The sequence below is a fragment of the Homo sapiens genome, chromosome 6 (genome assembly GCF_000001405.40).
Source record: "Homo sapiens chromosome 6, GRCh38.p14 Primary Assembly".
Classification (NCBI taxonomy): domain Eukaryota; kingdom Metazoa; phylum Chordata; class Mammalia; order Primates; family Hominidae; genus Homo; species Homo sapiens.
Window position 1 is genome coordinate 170456389 of NC_000006.12, and position 18076 is coordinate 170474464.

The 18076-nt window shown below is 53.3% G+C and overlaps 1 protein-coding gene and 2 long non-coding RNA genes across 3 annotated transcripts in view; all 3 read right to left on the bottom strand.

The window, feature by feature from the left end:
* Positions 1-2942: 2942 nt before the first annotated feature.
* On the bottom strand, positions 2943-6726 carry LOC124901235 (uncharacterized). Its single transcript, XM_047419615.1, has 3 exons — positions 6654-6726; positions 6430-6525; positions 2943-5846 (listed from the first exon to the last, which is right to left on the bottom strand). The coding sequence occupies exons 1-3, from the start codon at positions 6724-6726 to the stop codon at positions 5095-5097; spliced, it is 921 nt and encodes a 306-aa protein (XP_047275571.1). The 3' UTR covers positions 2943-5094.
* Positions 6727-9452: 2726 nt separating this feature from the next.
* On the bottom strand, positions 9453-12394 carry LOC124901476 (uncharacterized). The gene is made up of 2 exons (XR_007059899.1): positions 9856-12394; positions 9453-9646 (listed from the first exon to the last, which is right to left on the bottom strand). It is a non-coding gene; the product is annotated as an uncharacterized LOC124901476 (long non-coding RNA).
* Positions 12395-12639: 245 nt separating this feature from the next.
* The window catches only part of LOC105378157 (uncharacterized), a 28344-nt gene continuing 22907 nt past the window's right edge, over positions 12640-18076 (bottom strand). The window contains exon 5 of the long non-coding RNA XR_001744492.2: positions 12640-16242. This is a non-coding gene — a long non-coding RNA (uncharacterized LOC105378157). The remainder of the gene's footprint in view (positions 16243-18076) is intronic.

Genomic DNA, 18076 nt, shown 5'->3' on the forward strand with positions numbered 1-18076 from the left:
CAGCCAAAGCACAGAGCCCTTCCTGCGCTCTGTCCCCTGCCCATATCTGCCCCTGCTTTCCAGACTCCATCCACTCAGTGAATGGACTCCCATTAGGGCACCGCATGTCTGCCCTCTGGGAGCGCCCTCTCCAGCTCCATGTCGGGGGCACATTTCCTCCTGGAGTCCCTGTGAGTCACGTCCCAACCACAGCCTCCTCGGCACCCGCCCTACCAGGCCATCCCGCCCATCATGCCCACCTGCAGGCATGTTCTGGATGGGCTGTCTTGTGCTTTGTTGTTTTTGCTTGTTTGTCTTGTTTGGTTTGGTTGTTTGTTTTGTTGTTGTTGTTGTTTGTTGTTTGCTTGGTTTTTTTTTTTTACAGAGTCTCGCTCTGTTGCCCAGGCTGGAGTGCAGTGGTGCAATCTCGGCTCACTGCAACCTCCGCCTCCCGGGTTCAAGTGATTCTCCTGCCTCAGCCTCCCAAGTAGCTGGGACTACAGGCATCCCCCCACCTCCGACCACCACACCTGGCTAGTTTTTGTATTTTTAATAGAGACAGGGTTTCACCATGTTGGCCAGGAGGTTTGTTTTGTTCTAATTCAAGCCAACACTTAGAATTTTAACAATTTGGCACAGAAGCCTGGCTTTCTGCCTGCCTTCTCCACAGGACGACCTCTGACAGTTGGGATGGTTAGCATGCTCTCTGGGCTTCTCTGTGATCTACACACAACTTCCCTGCCTTTCCCTGCCTGCTGGGCCTGCTGCTCTGATCTTGGCCCCTGGGACCTTCCTAAAAGTCAGGAGCTGGCACTGACGTCCGGGGCTCCAAAGCAGCACACCTGCTCACACAGAGCTCACCTCTCCAGCACGGCTCACTCGCCTCAGCTGCAGGCCTGGCCCTCTTAGCTGCAGGGCACGTACAAGGCCCCAGGGTAGTGCGAGAGGAACTTTGGAGCAAACCAGCTTCATGACCCTGTGTCCTGCCTGAGTAAATGCCTTTCAGCCTCTTTATCACCAGTGTCTCCTGGCTCCAGGGCCCTGCCTGAATACCCTTGGGCACCTCAAGCCCTCAGAGGCTGGTGTTGCCCAGTCTTCCCACAGAGGGGCCTGCCTGGTTCCAGCAGCTGCCCACTGGGTCTCCAGGCCCTCCACACCCAGCAGCTGCTGACAGCTCCACCTAAACTGGGGCCAGCCCGGTACCATGGAGATGGGACGTGTTTGCAGAGATGGCGTCCAAAGGATTTGCAGAGCTACTGGGAGGTGGGAAGAACAAGAAGTATCCCAAATGGTAGCAGTGCCAGCCTGGCTGCTGGGGCCAAGGACCCAAAGGGGATAGGGGCAGGAGGAGCCCCTATCCCTTAGGAGGAGCCACTATCCCACAGGAGGAGTCCCTATCCCGTAAGAGGAGCTCATATCCTGCAGGAGGAGTCCCTATCCCGTAAGAGGAGCTCATATCCTGCAGGAGGAGTCCCTATCCCATAGGAGGAGCCCCTATCCCACAGGAGGAGTCCCTATCCCACAGGAGGAGTCCCTATCCCATAGGAGGAGTCCCTATCCCATAGGAGGAGTCCCTATCCCATAGGAGTCCCTATCCCACAGGAGGAGTCCCTATCCCACAGGAGGAGCCCCTATCCCACAGGAGGAGCCCCTATCCCACAGGAGGAGCCCCTATCACACAGGAGGAGCCCCTATCCCACAGGAGGACTCCCTATCCCACAGGAGGAGCCCCTATCCCACAGGAGGAGCCCCTATCCCACAGGAGGAGTCCCTATCCCACAGGAGGAGTCCCTATCCCACAGGAGGAGCCCCTATCCCACAGGAGGAGTCCCTATCCCACAGGAGGAGCCACTATCCCATAGGAGGAGTCCCTATCCCATAGGAGTCCCTATCCCACAGGAGGAGCCCCTATCCCACAGGAGGAGCCCCTATCCCACAGGAGGACTCCCTATCCCACAGGAGGAGCCCCTATCCCACAGGAGGAGCCCCTATCCCACAGGAGGAGCCCCTATCCCACAGGAGGAATCCCTATCCCACAGGAGGAGCCCCTATCCCACAGGAGGAGCCCCTATCCCGTAAGAGGAGCTCATATCCCGCAGGAGGAGCCCCTATCCCGTAAGAGGAGCTCATATCCCGCAGGAGGAGCCCCTATCCCGCAGGAGGAGTCCCTATCCCGCAGGAGGAGTCCCTATCCCGCAGGAGGAGCCCCTATCCCGCAGGAGGAGCCCCTATCCCACAGGAGGAGCCCCTATCCCACAGGAGGAATCCCTATCCCACAGGAGGAGCCCCTATCCCACAGGAGGAGTCCCTATCCCACAGGAGGAGCCCCTATCCCACAGGAGGAATCCCTATCCCACAGGAGGAGTCCCTATCCCACAGGAGGAGCCCCTATCCCACAGGAGGAATCCCTATCCCACAGGAGGAGCCCCTATCCCACAGGAGGAGCCCCTATCCCACAGGAGGAGCCCCTATCCCACAGGAGGAGCCCCTATCCCACAGGAGGAGCCCCTATCCCACAGGAGGAGTCCTTATCCCGTAAGAGGAGCTCATATCCTGCAGGAGGAGTCCCTATGCCACAGGAGGAGCCCCTATCCCACAGGAGGAGTCCCTATCCCACAGGAGGAGCCCCTATCCCACAGGAGGAGCCCCTATCCCACAGGAGGAATCCCTATCCCACAGGAGGAGCCCCTATCCCACAGGAGGAGTCCCTATCCCGTAAGAGGAGCCCCTATCCCACAGGAGGAGTCCCTATCCCACAGGAGGAGCCACTATCCCATAGGAGGAGTCCCTATCCCATAGGAGTCCCTATCCCACAGGAGGAGCCCCTATCCCACAGGAGGAGCCCCTATCCCACAGGAGGAGTCCCTATCCCGTAAGAGGAGCTCATATCCTGCAGGAGGAGTCCCTATCCCACAGGAGGAGTCCCTATCCCACAGGAGGAGCCACTATCCCATAGGAGGAGTCCCTATCCCATAGGAGTCCCTATCCCACAGGAGGAGCCCCTATCCCACAGGAGGAGCCCCTATCCCACAGGAGGAGTCCCTATCCCGTAAGAGGAGCTCATATCCTGCAGGAGGAGTCCCTATGCCACAGGAGGAGCCCCTATCCCACAGGAGGAGTCCCTATCCCACAGGAGGAGCCCCTATCCCACAGGAGGAGCCCCTATCCTGGGTGGCCGGGGACACAAGGTTGTGAAGGGGACAGAGCGATGAGTGGGAATGCCCACACTGGGGGTCGGGGTGGCTGGGGACACAAGAGAGGATGTGAGTCAGACCCGAAAGTGAAAGTCCTGCTGGCTCAGCCGCATGCTGGACCTCACAGTAAGCAAGTGCTGCCACAGGAGTCTTTATGTACAAGAGTGACAATATCAGAGTTTTCTTGCAGGATGACCATCTCAGCGGTGCCTGGTGGAGCAAATGAGGTGACAGTTGAAGGTGGTGGGGACTCTGTGAACAGCAAATGCAGGAAAGGGAAGCCAAGAAACACTTCATTTAAAGCTTGAAATAGGAGTTGCCAGAGGCGTTAGCCCAGGTCCCTCAGCAGGAAACAGGACCTTGGGGTGTCTAACCCCCAACCCTGTGCCCCAGGGTTATGGGGTCTATGAGTTCTGCAAGGGTTCCCAAAAATACATAAGAACTGGAGCAAAGATTCTTTTCTCCAAAATATGAAAGTAAAAAATCCGATTGATATTTGAATGCTTACAAACAAAATTTCCCATCTATGAGCACAATGCATATGAGCACAGTGCACCTCAACCCTCACATACTTCCTATCAATTCTACTTCGTGTGGGCTACTGAGGCAGTTTCACACGTTTGGTGGGATTTGCATGGAGCCTCCAGATGTCGGAGGTCTTGAAGCCTGAGACGCAGAGAGAGAAAAAGGAGAAAGGGAGTGAGAGAGAAGCAGTGAGTGACCACAGAGGAGCGCTGAGACTTCCTCCTCCTAATACCCCACTTTTTCCAACTCGAGTGTCAAGGACTTTGCATGCACTGGGGCCTGGGAAAGCCACAGTTCAGTGGTCCTACTGTGGTTTTTAGGGCCACAAAGAACCTTTCACTTTGCCCTCAAACCAAATTGGTACCCTCCTATTGCTGAAGACAGCTTCCTTTGTTTTCCATTTCAGCAGAAACAAGTGAGGTAGCAGAGAAGCACTGAGGACCCCAAAAAGCCCCCTAGGGTTCGGATCTCGCCCAAGAGAGGCATCATGACTGCAGGTTTGGGCACGGGGGTGGGAAATGGAGGCCTCCACTCATCCTTAACACACAGGGACCTGTGTGGCTGGCGTTCATTGTGCTAAGCGTCTTAGAAAAATAGCTATTAAATATATAAACTGTTAAATGTGTATGAATCCCTTGTACCTAATGGCAAAGATGAGACACTCACATGGCATGCATTCAGACCGAAGGGGCTGCTCCTGAGTGCTCTGACCACAAAACACAGGGGCCGGGGGCCTGCACATCAGAGGCCTGGAGATGAGGCGCCCTGAGGCACTAACTAAATGTTTGGGTATGCCTAGGAGGTCAAGAATAACTAAGCTCGTGCGTAGCCTAAGAAATGCTGAATAATTTTCTAAGAAAAATGATGGCAGATACAACATTCATAATATCTGGCACATAGAGGGTACACAAATATTTGTTGCATATTTGAATGAATAGCAGAGCATTTGCATTTTTGTGTAATTTTTATCATCGTATAATCAAAATCCAAAATTCATAGCAACATCCACCAGGCAAAGAGCTCAATGGGCTTCCCTCTCCACACCTGCTCCCGTTAGCCCCCAGCATCAAGTGGTTTGTGGCCAGCACCCTCTCCCTCCCCTGGTGATGACCAGAAGACAGAAAAAGATGCAGGAAGGGGCTTCTCAGCATGCTCCTGTCCACCCACAAATAGGCCAAAGGGCCCCTCCTCACCCCCTGACCCCATGCCCCTCACGCCTTCAAGGTGGCGCTGGGGGAACTGCGCTGGGGGAGCTCCGCTCAGAGACGCTGAGACCCCTTCGCAGTGGAGTTACGCTCACTCACTTCTGCAGCTGCCGAGGGGATGCCCCTCTCAGGAGCCATGTGTCAGGGTGCCCTTCCCTTCACTTTCCTCTTTTGTCACCGACCTTCACAGATCATGCTCCTTTAACACAACCAACAGTCTTATGAAACAAAGCTTCTGAGAAATCACAGTACGATTCCACAGATCTGGCCCGAAGACCTGGAAAGAACCTGAAGAATCGTGCTTTGAAGGTCCAAGAAGGGAAAGGAGAAGAACGCCACCCAGGAATGCAGGGGAACAGGTGCACTCGGATAAAAAGCCACACACCGCGCTGCACCGCAGGGAATGCAGAAAGGACAGGCACACTCAGGTCCATGACCTCACTGCCCAGGATGAGCACGAGAAAGAGGCAGCTCAGGACGGAGACATGGGAAGGGTGGGAGATGCCGGCAGGCAGAGAAGTGAGAGCCAAGTCCCGTCCTGGGGAGCAGACACACGTCGGGTGGCAGGGGCTGAGGGAGGGCTTGGAAAAGAGGCTGTAGAGGTGCCAGGCCCAGAGTGAGTAGCAAGGGCCATGGGAGCCAAGCGGTGCTTGGGGCTGGGGCCCAGGAACGGAGCTGGGGGTGCCCGGCCCAGCCTCCCACTCCTCGCTGTTCCCCAGGTGCAGAGCAGGGTGGAGGTGGACCTGAGTCTGGGAGCTGAAGGAAGTGGGAAGGGGCTGAGGCTCCTGGAGAGGAAGAAAGTGTCCTCTGAGAGATGCTGGCACACATCCTCCAGAAAGTCCCAGGCTGGCTAGGGCCGGCTGCTTGGTGACACAGGCTCCTGGGTCCTGGGACCAGCCCTGACCACTGCTGGCACAGCAAAGCTGGTCACCCGACGGCTGCCCTGTGGAGAGGACCAGGCAGACAAAATGGAAACCACCATCCAGCAGGTGGTCCGGCCACAGCCCCAGTCACCGAGACTCCTGAAGACGGTCAAGGCCAGGAGCCCAGGCCAGCCCCCACCTTCCACCTCCCTGCAGCTGGTTGTGGCCACAAGGTAAGTCCACCAATGAGCATCAACCGTGGTGTTTGTAGGACTTCGGGTGGCTTTTTAAAAGTAGGCTGTGTGTATCATACAAACCAGGAAGTCCTACAAAGAGAGGGGGTAACAAGCACAGACCAGCAGCACCAGGATGTGCAGACACCACAGAGCACCCTTTAGCTCTTCCTCCTCCCTCCGTCCCCCCCACACCTTACATGTTATTATCAAAGCATTTACATAATGCCCCTCAACCCAGCAGTCACTCTGAAATGAGATTCTCAGCAGTGAGAGGTCCTGGGAGTGGAAGCCCTGGAGTCAAAGCAGGAAGGGAAATGGAGCTTGGATCCCTAAGGGACCTGCATTCCTGCCTTGGGGCTGCTTGGGCTGGGATCTGGGCCTACCACATAGGAGCTGCTCAAGAGCTAGCCATTCAACTCCCGCCTACCTTCATAGTCTCTGAAATAGGGGGGGCCACGTGCCCATCGTGAGGAGCAGGTGCCAGCTCCTTTTATGGAGAGACTGGATGTCTGCTGGGCTGGAGCTGCTCATGTAGGTGTTGACAGAACACTGCCCAGACCAAGGCTCTGAGGAGGACAGAAGTGGGAGAAAACTGAGGCAGAAGCCAGCGAGGGGGAAGTGATGGGGAGGGGGCTGGTGCTGTGCCATAACCTTCACTGGCCCTGGTGGGCAGGCTCAGAGCTCGCCGGGCACCCCTCACAACCAGGGGGTCCACCTGGAGCATCGGGCAGGTTTGGAACGGTGACCTCCACATCGGGCGTGTTTGGAACGGTGACCTCCACATCGGGCGTGTTTGGAACGGAGGCCTCCAATCAGCGAACATTGCAAAGCACCTAGCCACGCACACACTCTGGTGTGGGGATGGTGAGATCATCTGGGTGCATAAAGTGGTGATGGCCACACAGACGTTAGCTGTAACGTTCACCAACAACTCATCTCCAAAGGAGCCAGGGAACAAGGCCTGCCTGGGGCAGTCAGGGGAGGTGCTCAGCAGGCAGGGGCGGGAGGGGCAGAAGCGGTGCCTGAGCTGGACCTGGAGGGACTGGTGAGAAGTGGAAGAGCGGAGGGAAGAAGCGGCTGCGGAGGCTGCGGAGGCTGGGCCTGGTCTGGGGAGGCTGGGCCTGGTCTGGGGAGGCTGTGGAGGCTGGGCCTGGTCTGGGGAGGCTTGTCGGGACCAGGGGAGGGTGACACCCAGTCGGTAAGGAGAGGCATTGGCTGCATGCTGGCCCCCGTGCTGAGGTTGTCTGGTTGAAGGGGAAGCCCAGCTCAGTGACCAGTGGCCTTGGCCAGAGCAATGTGGCTTCGAGGACAACCACAGGTGTCTTCCTGGATCAGCACCTGCCTGCCCCGGCCCAGCCTGGGAGAAGGACTCAGGTGTTCTTCTTGAAGAGGGTCTAGCTCTAGGGACAACTGGGAGGAGGGGGCTGGCACAGGTACCAATCACTCTGCCCCCTGCACCCAGATTTTTATAGAAATGGAAGCAAGTTACAAATCAGCATGGGGTGGGCTTTGCAGGAAATATAGTTATAGTGGAGGGGGCAGTCAGGGGTGCAAGGAGAGGAGGCTTCTGGGGACCTCAGCCAGGCTCATGAGACCCTCCATGGTAGACTGTGGGAAAACTTATCAGGGCAGGAGGAGAAAAGGGGCCCCTTTTCAATGGTATTTTTCAGCCTGCAAGAGGAAAGCAGCCTTTTTCCTATCGTTTTGCTTAGAGGCCCAAATTCTTTGTCACCCAGGCCAAAGCAGCCTGCCTGTCTTTCTGAACCCCTCACAGGGTAGCCCTGGGTGTCTTGTGAGCAGCACTGGGTTCACACAGTTCACCCGCACCCCAGATGCCTGAGCCTGATCCTATAGCTATGTGCAGTTCCCATGCCCTCTCCCCTCCGTGCGGCCGACTGGGGCAGCCAGCAGGTTCTCAAGCCTCCCACTTGAGGAAGGGGGCACCGTGCTGCTCTGCACCCGCCGTCTGACTCGCCTCAGCCCCAGATCCCTGAGAAGTGTGGTTCTGCCAAGAGGCAGCAGGCTGGATTGAAGGACCTTTTTGGATTCCTTCCCTCACAAATCCCCACCAGTGTACTCATGAGAGCCCATGAATGGTTAAAAAACAAAGCTGTAAGAGAGAGAGGTTCCCACATAAAACAAGAGTGTTAAAGTGTGAAACAGGAGGTTTGGCCCTCACCCCTCCTCTCTCTGGGAGAGTTAGGGGGTTTCCCCGCCCACGCCCTGAGAGACCATCAACACCGTGCAGGCCGGTCTGTGCTTCACAGGGCTGGCTCCTGCCTTCCTCCTTTGTGAACTCAGGGATTCATGGAGCTAAGCCATCAACACCTGGCTGAGAAGTAGGGCCTCTCCACCTTCCTCCCACTCTGCTCACAAATGGCCCTGAGGAGTGTCAGAGATCAAAGGGGCCAGCGCCCTGGCCTTCTGCTGCTCAGCCCCATAACTGCCCTCAGAGGACGGGAATTCACACCTGCTGGTGGTGGAGGGGGCCCAAGGTGTGGAGGACTGTGTTGGCTGCGGCATCATCTGCAAAGGTGAGTGAGCTTGAACTTTCACAAGGTGGCCCCAAGCCACCATAGGGGTAACAAGACAAAAGGTGTCTCCCTTCCTACATTACAGAAGGCGTTTGTGGAATTCACATCCCACTGGGTCCTTTTTTCACAGTTCCTTGGCTTGAGGCCTCTGATCCTGCTTTCCACAAGCTGACTGGGTGTCACCAAGGCCCCAGAAGGGCCCGGAGCTCCCCCTTCTCTCACCCACTCCCCGATTATGTGCTCCCAGCACAGCTCTGCAGCCAGAGGGTGAGGCTGCAAGCGAGATTCCGAGGCTGACTGATAGGCCTTCACCAGGCGGAGCCATCTTGAAGGAGAAAGAGGGAGACGGGGACGCTGTTGTGAATGGGTGGATACGTCAAGATGTGAGAAACTGAAGCTAGTAGCTGGAGTGGATCCACAGGGATTTCTATAGGCAGCCGAGTTTCCTGAACTTTTCCCGTGAAACTGACTTTGCTTTAACGAGAGCAACTGCACTGGCCATTCCCACAGGTATCTCTAGCCCCTCGTCTACGTGAAATGAGTGCATTCACTCAGATAAATCTCTAAAATGGTGGCTGGAGGCTGTTATTAGGAGGCTAGTAAAGATTTTATGCTTGATATAATATTGCCTGTGACTTAGCCACTGTTGTAGAACAATATTTTGCCTGAAACTCTTCAAATGATGTTTTGGTAGCTGTTTCTGCTCATTTTGGTTAATGTTTTTGCAGCAATAAGTCTGAGCAGCTGGATCTTTTGTTCCTCACACAGCATATTCCAGGTGGGCTGCCTGAATCCTGCATCCTAAACCCTATAAAATACCATTTCAGGAACAACTGGGTTTTTGTCTACAAGAAATTATCCCTATAATAGCTTGTATATGCCGTGAAGTAATGAGATGGTTGTTAATAGAAAAATATTTCCTAGAATAGACCATTTTTATTCAAACATCTGCCAACATGAAAACTATGTACACAGCATTGCAATGGAGTCATCGCTTTCCTAACAGTTTTCCTACAGCCTGATACCCACACCATGTACAACCTGACTGATACACCATTTACAGCCTGACTGACTGACGCCCACACCATTTACAGCCTGACTGACTGACACCTACACCATTTACAGCCTGACTGACTGACACCCACACCGTTTACAGCCTGACTGACTGACACCCACACCATTTACAGGCTGACTGACTGACACCCACACCATTTACAGCCTGACTGACTGACACCCACACCATTTACAGCCTGACTGACACACACACCGTTTACAGACTGACTGACTGACACACACACCATTTATAGACTGACTGACACCCACACCATTTACAGCCTGACTGACTGACACCCACACCATTTACAGCCTGACTGACTGACACCCACACCATTTACAGCCTGACTGACTGACACCCACACCATTTACAGCCTGACTGACACCCACACCATTTACAGCCTGACTGACTGACACCCACACCGTTTACAGCCTGACTGACTGACACCCACACCATTTACAGCCTGACTGACTGACACCCACACCGTTTACAGCCTGACTGACTGACACCCACACCATTTACAGGCTGACTGACACCCACACCATTTACAGCCTGACTGACACCCACACCCTTTACAGCCTGACTGACTGACACCCACACCATTTACAGCCTGACTGACTGACACCCACACCATTTATAGCCTGACTGACACCCACACCATTTACAGCCTGACTGACACCCACACCGTTTACAGCCTGACTGACACCCACACCATTTACAGCCTGACTGACTGACACCCACACCGTTTACAGCCTGACTGACTGACACCCACACCATTTATAGCCTGACTGACACCCACACCATTTACAGCCTGACTGACACCCACACCATTTACAGCCTGACTGACTGACACCCACACCATTTACAGCCTGACTGACTGACACCCACACCATTTATAGCCTGACTGACACCCACACCATTTACAGCCTGACTGACTGACACCCACACCATTTACAGCCTGACTGACTGACACCCACACCATTTACAGCCTGACTGACACCCACACCATTTATAGCCTGACTGACACCCACACCATTTACAGCCTGACTGACTGACACCCACACCATTTACAGCCTGACTGACACCCACACCATTTACAGCCTGACTGACACCCACACCGTTTACAGCCTGACTGACTGACACCCACACCATTTATAGCCTGACTGACACCCACACCATTTACAGCCTGACTGACTGACACCCACACCGTTTACAGCCTGACTGACTGACACCCACACCATTTACAGCCTGACTGACTGACACCCACACCGTTTACAGCCTGACTGACTGACACCCACACCATTTACAGGCTGACTGACACCCACACCATTTACAGCCTGACTGACACCCACACCCTTTACAGCCTGACTGACTGACACCCACACCATTTACAGCCTGACTGACTGACACCCACACCCTTTACAGCCTGACTGACTGACACCCACACCATTTACAGGCTGACTGACACCCACACCATTTACAGCCTGACTGACTGACACCCACACCATTTACAGCCTGACTGACACCCACACCATTTACAGCCTGACTGACTGACACCCACACCCTTTACAGCCTGACTGACTGACACCCCCACCATTTACAGCCTGACTGACTGACACCCACACCCTTTACAGCCTGACTGACTGACACCCACACCATTTACAGCCTGACTGACACCCACACCATTTACAGCCTGACTGACTGACACCCACACCATTTACAGCCTGACTGACACCCACACCATTTACAGCCTGACTGACTGACACACACACCATTTACAGCCTGACTGACTGACACCCACACCATTTACAGCCTGACTGACTGACACCCACACCATTTACCCCTTCGTGTTGGCACATCGAAGAGCAGCATCTTAGTGGTCTGAGTCACAGTGACAAAACTTTCAGGTAGGTCCACCCTTTAGCTGTAGATGGAGCAGGTGCCCCCTGCAGAAGAATCTGCCTACATCCCACGCCAGAACTGGGCCTCGCTCCACAGACAGGGAGGAGGAGAAAGTGCAGCCAGTTTCCAAAACAGGCATAATTTAGATGTGCCCAGGCTCTGATCCAGATGCACCCTGTGCTGAGACTGCAGAAGCTGCTGTCATCGACCCCTCAGCACCCTACTGTGAGCTTTGCTCCGTAACCACTCCTGTGACAAGCAAACGAATTAAATAGCGTGAAGGATGGCCACCCTGGACTCTGTCCACAGAGGTGCCAGCTGAGAGTGTGCTCTGACCGTGGCACACCGGTCCCTCCGGGCACTAAAATGAGACCCTGTTCATTTCGTGTCTCCCACCAAGCAGCTGTCAGGCGACAGTGGCTTTTGGTCCCCGTGTCCTGTGAGACAGTTTCAAACAGGTGGTCTATACAGGTTTTAAAAATTCCCTATCCCATTACTGGTTCCCAAAGCTATCCAATTCCCCCTCCTTCTTCTGGGGAGAATGTTGTTATGAACAGAAACCCTGAATCGGAGGTTGCTTCTTCTTTCCTTTCTCCCACATTATTCCTCAGCCTCCTCAGAAGACCCACGACCAAACACAGGAGGAGTCTTCCCTTTGGGGCCGAGTTGCTTCAGAAAGGCTCAGAGTGGCTGACAAGCTTCTCTGGGTACAGATGGGTGCACAACCATCTCAGCAAATGCCAATGCTTTTCAGCAAATAAAGCCCAAGGGGTGACTGGCGATGGCTTTGGGGCTGCAGTATGTCTATGCTGGATGACTGTTTGGGGGACGCAGCCCTTCCCTCTATTCAAAGTGCTATGTAGCTTATATTTATTTAAATGAGTTAAAACTTATCTTCTTTGGAGACTTTTTTTTTTTTTTTTTTGAGACGGAGTCTCGCTCTGTCGCCCAGGCCGGACTGCGGACTGCAGTGGCGCAATCTCGGCTCACTGCAAGCTCCGCTTCCCGGGTTCACGCCATTCTCCTGCCTCAGCTTCCCGAGTAGCTGGGACTACAGGCGCCCGCCACCGCGCCTGGCTAATTTTTTGTATTTTTAGTAGAGACAGGGTTTCACCTTGTTAGCCAGGATGTTCTCGATCTCCTGACCTCATGATCCACCTGCCTCGGCCTCCCAAAGTGCTGGGATTACAGGCGTGAGCCACCGTGCCCGGCCGAGACATTTTAACATAGACAAGACCATCAGACTCAGAGGAGAACCTGCAGACCATCTGGTCCAGTGTTCTAGCCAGGGGGCCACAGAATCTCCCGTGTGCTCTGAGACCGCTGACGTGCTATGGCCTCAGGGGGCCACGGAATCTCCCGTGTGCTCTGAGACCACTGACGTGCTCTGGCCTCAGGGGGCCACGGAATCTCCCGTGTGCTCTGAGACCACTGACGTGCTCTGGCCTCAGGGGGCCCACGGAATCTCCCGTGTGCTCTGAGACCACTGACGTGCTATGGCCTCAGGGTGCCACGGAATCTCCCGTGTGCTCTGAGACCACTGACGTGCTACGGCCTCAGGGGGCCCGGAATCTCCCATGTGCTCTGAGACCACTGATGTGCTATGGCCTCAGGGTGCCACGGAATCTCCCGTGTGCTCTGAGACCACTGACGTGCTATGGCCTCGGGGGCCCACAGAATCTCCCGTGTGCTCTGAGACCACTGACGTGCATGGCCTCACGGTGACACGGAATCTCCCGTGTGCTCTGAGACCACTGACGTGCTATGGCCTCAGGGGGCCATGGAATCTCCCGTGTGCTCTGAGACCACTGACGTGCTACGGCCTCAGGGGGCCCGGAATCTCCCATGTGCTCTGAGACCACTGATGTGCTATGGCCTCAGGGTGCCACGGAATCTCCTGTGTGCTCTGAGACCACTGACGTGCTATGGCCTCGGGGGCCCACAGAATCTCCCGTGTGCTCTGAGACCACTGACGTGCATGGCCTCACGGTGACACGGAATCTCCCGTGTGCTCTGAGACCACTGACGTGCTATGGCCTCAGGGGGCCATGGAATCTCCCGTGTGCTCTGAGACCACTGACGTGCTACGGCCTCAGGGGGCCCGGAATCTCCCATGTGCTCTGAGACCACTGACGTGCTATGGCCTCAGGGTGCCACGGAATCTCCCGTGTGCTCTGAGACCACTGACGTGCTACAGCCTCAGGGGGCCCAGAATCTCCCATGTGCTCTGAGACCACTGACGTGCTATGGCCTCAGGGTGCCACGGAATCTCCCGTGTGCTCTGAGACCACTGACGTGCTATGGCCTCGGGGGCCCACAGAATCTCCCGTGTGCTCTGAGACCACTGACGTGCTATGGCCTAAGGGTGCCACGGAATCTCCCGTGTGCTCTGAGACCACTGACGTGCTATGGCCTCAGGCATGGTTCTGGCTCGGTCAGCCTGGGGGCTCTGGTAATGTACACTCTAAAAAGGCATCAGGATTGATTCTAATCTGTGGCCATGTTGAGAACTGTTGTATAGATAAAAAAGCAGAAGCCAAGGTATTTGTTTAAACATGTTTTGTGACATATTTGGGGGATGTAACCCTTGGAAAATGGCAGTCACCCTGGGATTCCTGGACTGGTAGCTGTGGGAACTCCCACGTGCCAAAAGTGCAGCCCCAGACTCTCCAGGTAAAATCAAGGTTCTGCTGACTGTTCCCCAGGTAACATGCAATGCACTTTGTTTCCTGACTGACTGTGGGTGTTAGTTCACTGCAATATAACAAGCACATATTAAGAATGTTTATGCCAGGCCCTCTGGGAAATACCATATTTATGTGCACGTATGTACAAATCCTCGTGCCTGCGTTCAGGAAGGAGAGGGGAGAGGGGTCTCCCCAGGCAGGCAGCCAGAGGACAATGCGGCACAGGACGGTGCACCAGCTTCTGTGCTCTAAGCAGGGGATTCTCTCTCTCTCTGCACTGGAAGATAAGATAAACGCATTGCTTTTAAAATGAGCCACCCTCACGTCCTCTTCATGCCTCCGTGGTGTAAGCACTTCTAACCAGCTGTGCTTTTCTCAAGCCAAGAACTGAGACGCAGTTTCAGGACCAGACCTTTTCACTGGGGCCTAGAATGTCAGCTCCCACAGCCACTTAAGGAAACAGAAGTATGTGCAACAATTTTACTCTGAAGGTAAATGAAATTCGTGACAAGCAGGGGCACATGGAAAGTTCTATGAGGATTAGTTCAATCCCATTGGAGAATCCAGAAAGATTTCATGGATGAGGGAGGATTTGTACTGGATTTTGTTTGAGAAAAAAAGACTGCCTAGCCAAGTTACATAGAAGGTACTTGGTAAATGCTAAATGGAATATCAATAAACAAGTAAGTACTGAACCAGATCGTGGCTTTGATGTGTAAGCTCAAGATAGAGTCAACAGTACATGTGCATGAGTGTGCATGCCCGTGTGCACGTGTAAATGAGAGCATGATCTGAACACATGTGTGCTGGAGGGTGTGCACGTATGCGTGCATGTGTGTGTGCAGATGAGTGTGCCCGTGTACAAATATGTGTGCATGCCTGTGTGTGTGCATGTTCTTCTGCACAGGTGACCTGCCCTCCCTCCTTTGTTGCTGCCCATAGTTCCAGGGAGTTTCTGCCTCAATCCCTCTCTCAGTATGGTAAGCGGAACCCTGCCTTCTTCTTGGTAGCCCACTATGCCAGATTTAACTGTTTTATGATTAAATATCCTCCATGCAACATTAGGAAAGTCAGGAGTCCTAAATAAGTCACGTGGTTTGGCACTTTAACAGCTGTGATCTCATATGCGCTTCACAGTAACCCTATGCAATGGAGATCAGTCAATTAACAATTGAGTTCAGCTGCCTGTCACTGAAAAGCTAAGGAACTGGATGAAACCAGATGTCAGGGTTTGCGTTCTCTCACAGAACGTGAAGTCCAAAGGAAGGCATTTTGGAGCTGGTCACCAGGGAGCCAGCTGGGGTCCACCTTGTTTAGGGTCTAGATGGGTGGTGTGCTGGCACATCGTAGTGAAAAATAGTGCTGCTTTCATTTTACAGATGAAAAACTCAGGCTTCCAGAGGCCAGGTTATTTTGCCCCAAATCACACAGTGAAGAAGAGCTGGGTCTGGAATTCTAAGCCAGACTCTACACTCAAATCTGTTTGACCCAAAGTCTGTGCACTTTCACAGACCATAGGTAGACAAGCGTGTGTACTCACGTGGAGGAGGTGGGCTCAGAAGAATCGATGGCCACGGAGACCATGTTCATGCGTGGGCCAGGAGGAATCTGGAGAGGCTGGAGCCTTAGACTCACTTTTAGTCTCGCTGTTTGACTGGAATAAGCTGTCCTGTTCCTAATCTCTGCAAGCAGACTGTTCTGGTGTCCCCAAGATCACTCCCTTTGCTGTTTCAAGACAGGCAAGGGCTGGGTCTAGGGGTCCTGGCAGGTAGGGCTTTTCCGGTCTCCTGAGGTGCCACCAGCTACTGTCTGCTGAGGCTGCTCAGATATTTTCATTCTAATCCTTGATAGCAGGCATAGCTCTGCCGTTTATAACCATCCCATCCACCTGACATAGGTTCTTGCCGGGGGCGTTTGAATTGGTGCCTCTCGGTCTGATCCAACAGCCCACTGCGATGCCCTGGCCAAGTGGCAGCCCTGAAATGGTCCCATTGATAGGAAGGGTCCAGTACCGTCTGTGATGCTGTGAAAAGCATAGTGTTTCTCCTCGTTTCCCAGCATTCCTGGAAATATATGAAATACAGGGCACTTTATCTTGCCACAAAGTTATTTTAAGAAGGAAAATCAATTTTATTTTATTTTATTTTGTTTTTTGAGATGGAGTCTGGCACTGTCACCCAGGCTGGAGTGCAGTGGCGTGATCTTGGCTCACTGCAACCTCCGCCTCCCGGGTTCAAGCGATTCTCCTGCCTCAGCCTCCTGAGTAGCTGAGATTACAGGTACCAACGACCACGCCCAGCTAATTGTTTTGTATTTTTAGTAGAGATGAGGTTTCTCTATGTTGGCCAGGCTGGTCTCGTACTCCTAACCTCGTGATCCACCCACCTTGGCCTCCCAAAGTCCTAGGATTACAGGCTTGAGCCACCACACCCGGCCAAAATCAATTTTAAAAATCCTACAAAACACACACTGTAAATGCCGAGATGTATCTGTATGTAGACCCTGAAGGTTGCACTGCGACCACTTCTGCAAAGCTGCTCACTCCACCTGCCTGCCTCACCTACTTCCTGCAGGGCTGTGCCTGCTCCTCAATTCACATGTCCAGTTTTTCTGGGACTCTATTGAATGCCCTAATTCCCATCCTTTCCTAGAGCCCTGTCTTTCTAAGCTATATGGCTCCTTCTTTTTCAGGCCTTGGAGAAGGTTGAACAGATGTCACTGAAGTCACATCCCTCCTTCCTTCACTGACAGTTCCCTCCGTGGCTGACACTTAGTGCTGGGTGTCTCCTCCCACTGCCAGGAGGTACAAGCTGCCTGCAGGCTTCCACCAGAGGCAGCTGCTGACAGACAGATGCTCACACTGCCAAGGGCAGAGATGCTGCTCCTCTGCCAGCTGCCCCATCTTGTCTCTCTGCCTGCCCAGGCTCTGGTGCTCACAGTTGAACTTGACAGGTTCTTTTCCAGGCTCCTCATAAGACTTTTTCCATCCAATATTCAGGCCCCCTTTCCTCCAGGAGCAACCACAGGACCCGGCCACGAGCTCAGCTCTGTTTCTGCACCTGGCAGAATGCCTGACGTACAGCAGTTGCTTGGGAAACAAAGTTTAGCTGGTGAGTGAACAAAAAGGTGCTGCAAGGCAGTGACCCTCCTGGATCTCTACACAGCTGCCTGAAACAAAACCCTGCATGCACCCTGCAAGAGAATTCTGAAAACCTGGAGCCCACCACACACACACAGAAATAAAACTCCTCTGCTTGTGCCCCTAAGAGAATTCTTAAAACTAGGAAGCACCCCCATTTTGAAATAAAACTCTGCTTCACTCCCTAAGAGAATTCTTATAACTGGGAACCTAGGAACCCCCTCCTAGGTGGGTTCCTAGCGTAGCATGTGGCTGAATTCTACACTGTAAATGTGCTGAGTGCGGCCGAATTCTACACTGTAAATGTGCTGAGTGCGGCCGAATTCTACACTGTAAATGTGCTGAGTGTGGCCGAATTCTACACTATAAATGTGTTACATGTGTCTGAATTTTATCCTTTGAAATGGTTAATGTTATGTTTCTTTAATTTCACCTCAATAAAAAATTCATTTAAAAAAATATATTGTGACCGTAAGCCACTAATTTTGTGTTTTTTAAATTTTTGCCATGGATCCCTTTGGTGATCTGGTGAAACCCATAGACCTCTTCTCAGAATAATGTCCTTAAATGCAGAAAGTAAAATACACAAGATCAAAAAGGAAAACAAGTGTACCAAAATACACCCATCAAATGAGCTTAATCATGGTACAGTCACACATGTGCCTCTTTAACACATCGTGCTGGTATGATAGATACCGGTTTTCGTACAAGGCTCCTGGCTCATAACTCCCACGCCTCTTGTTACAGTCTTTTGTTAT

Bases quoted from the DNA above. Each gene is read 5' to 3' on its own strand.
- LOC124901235 (XM_047419615.1), bottom strand. From the start codon at position 6,726: ATGCTCCAGGTGGACCCCCTGGTTGTGAGGGGTGCCCGGCGAGCTCTG. The intron at 6,526-6,653 runs GTTATGGCACAG...CTACATGAGCAG, and splicing joins GCCCACCAGGGCCAGTGAAG to CTCCAGCCCAGCAGACATCC. The intron at 5,847-6,429 runs GTAGGCGGGAGT...TCCTCTCCACAG, and splicing joins CTATTTCAGAGACTATGAAG to GGCAGCCGTCGGGTGACCAG.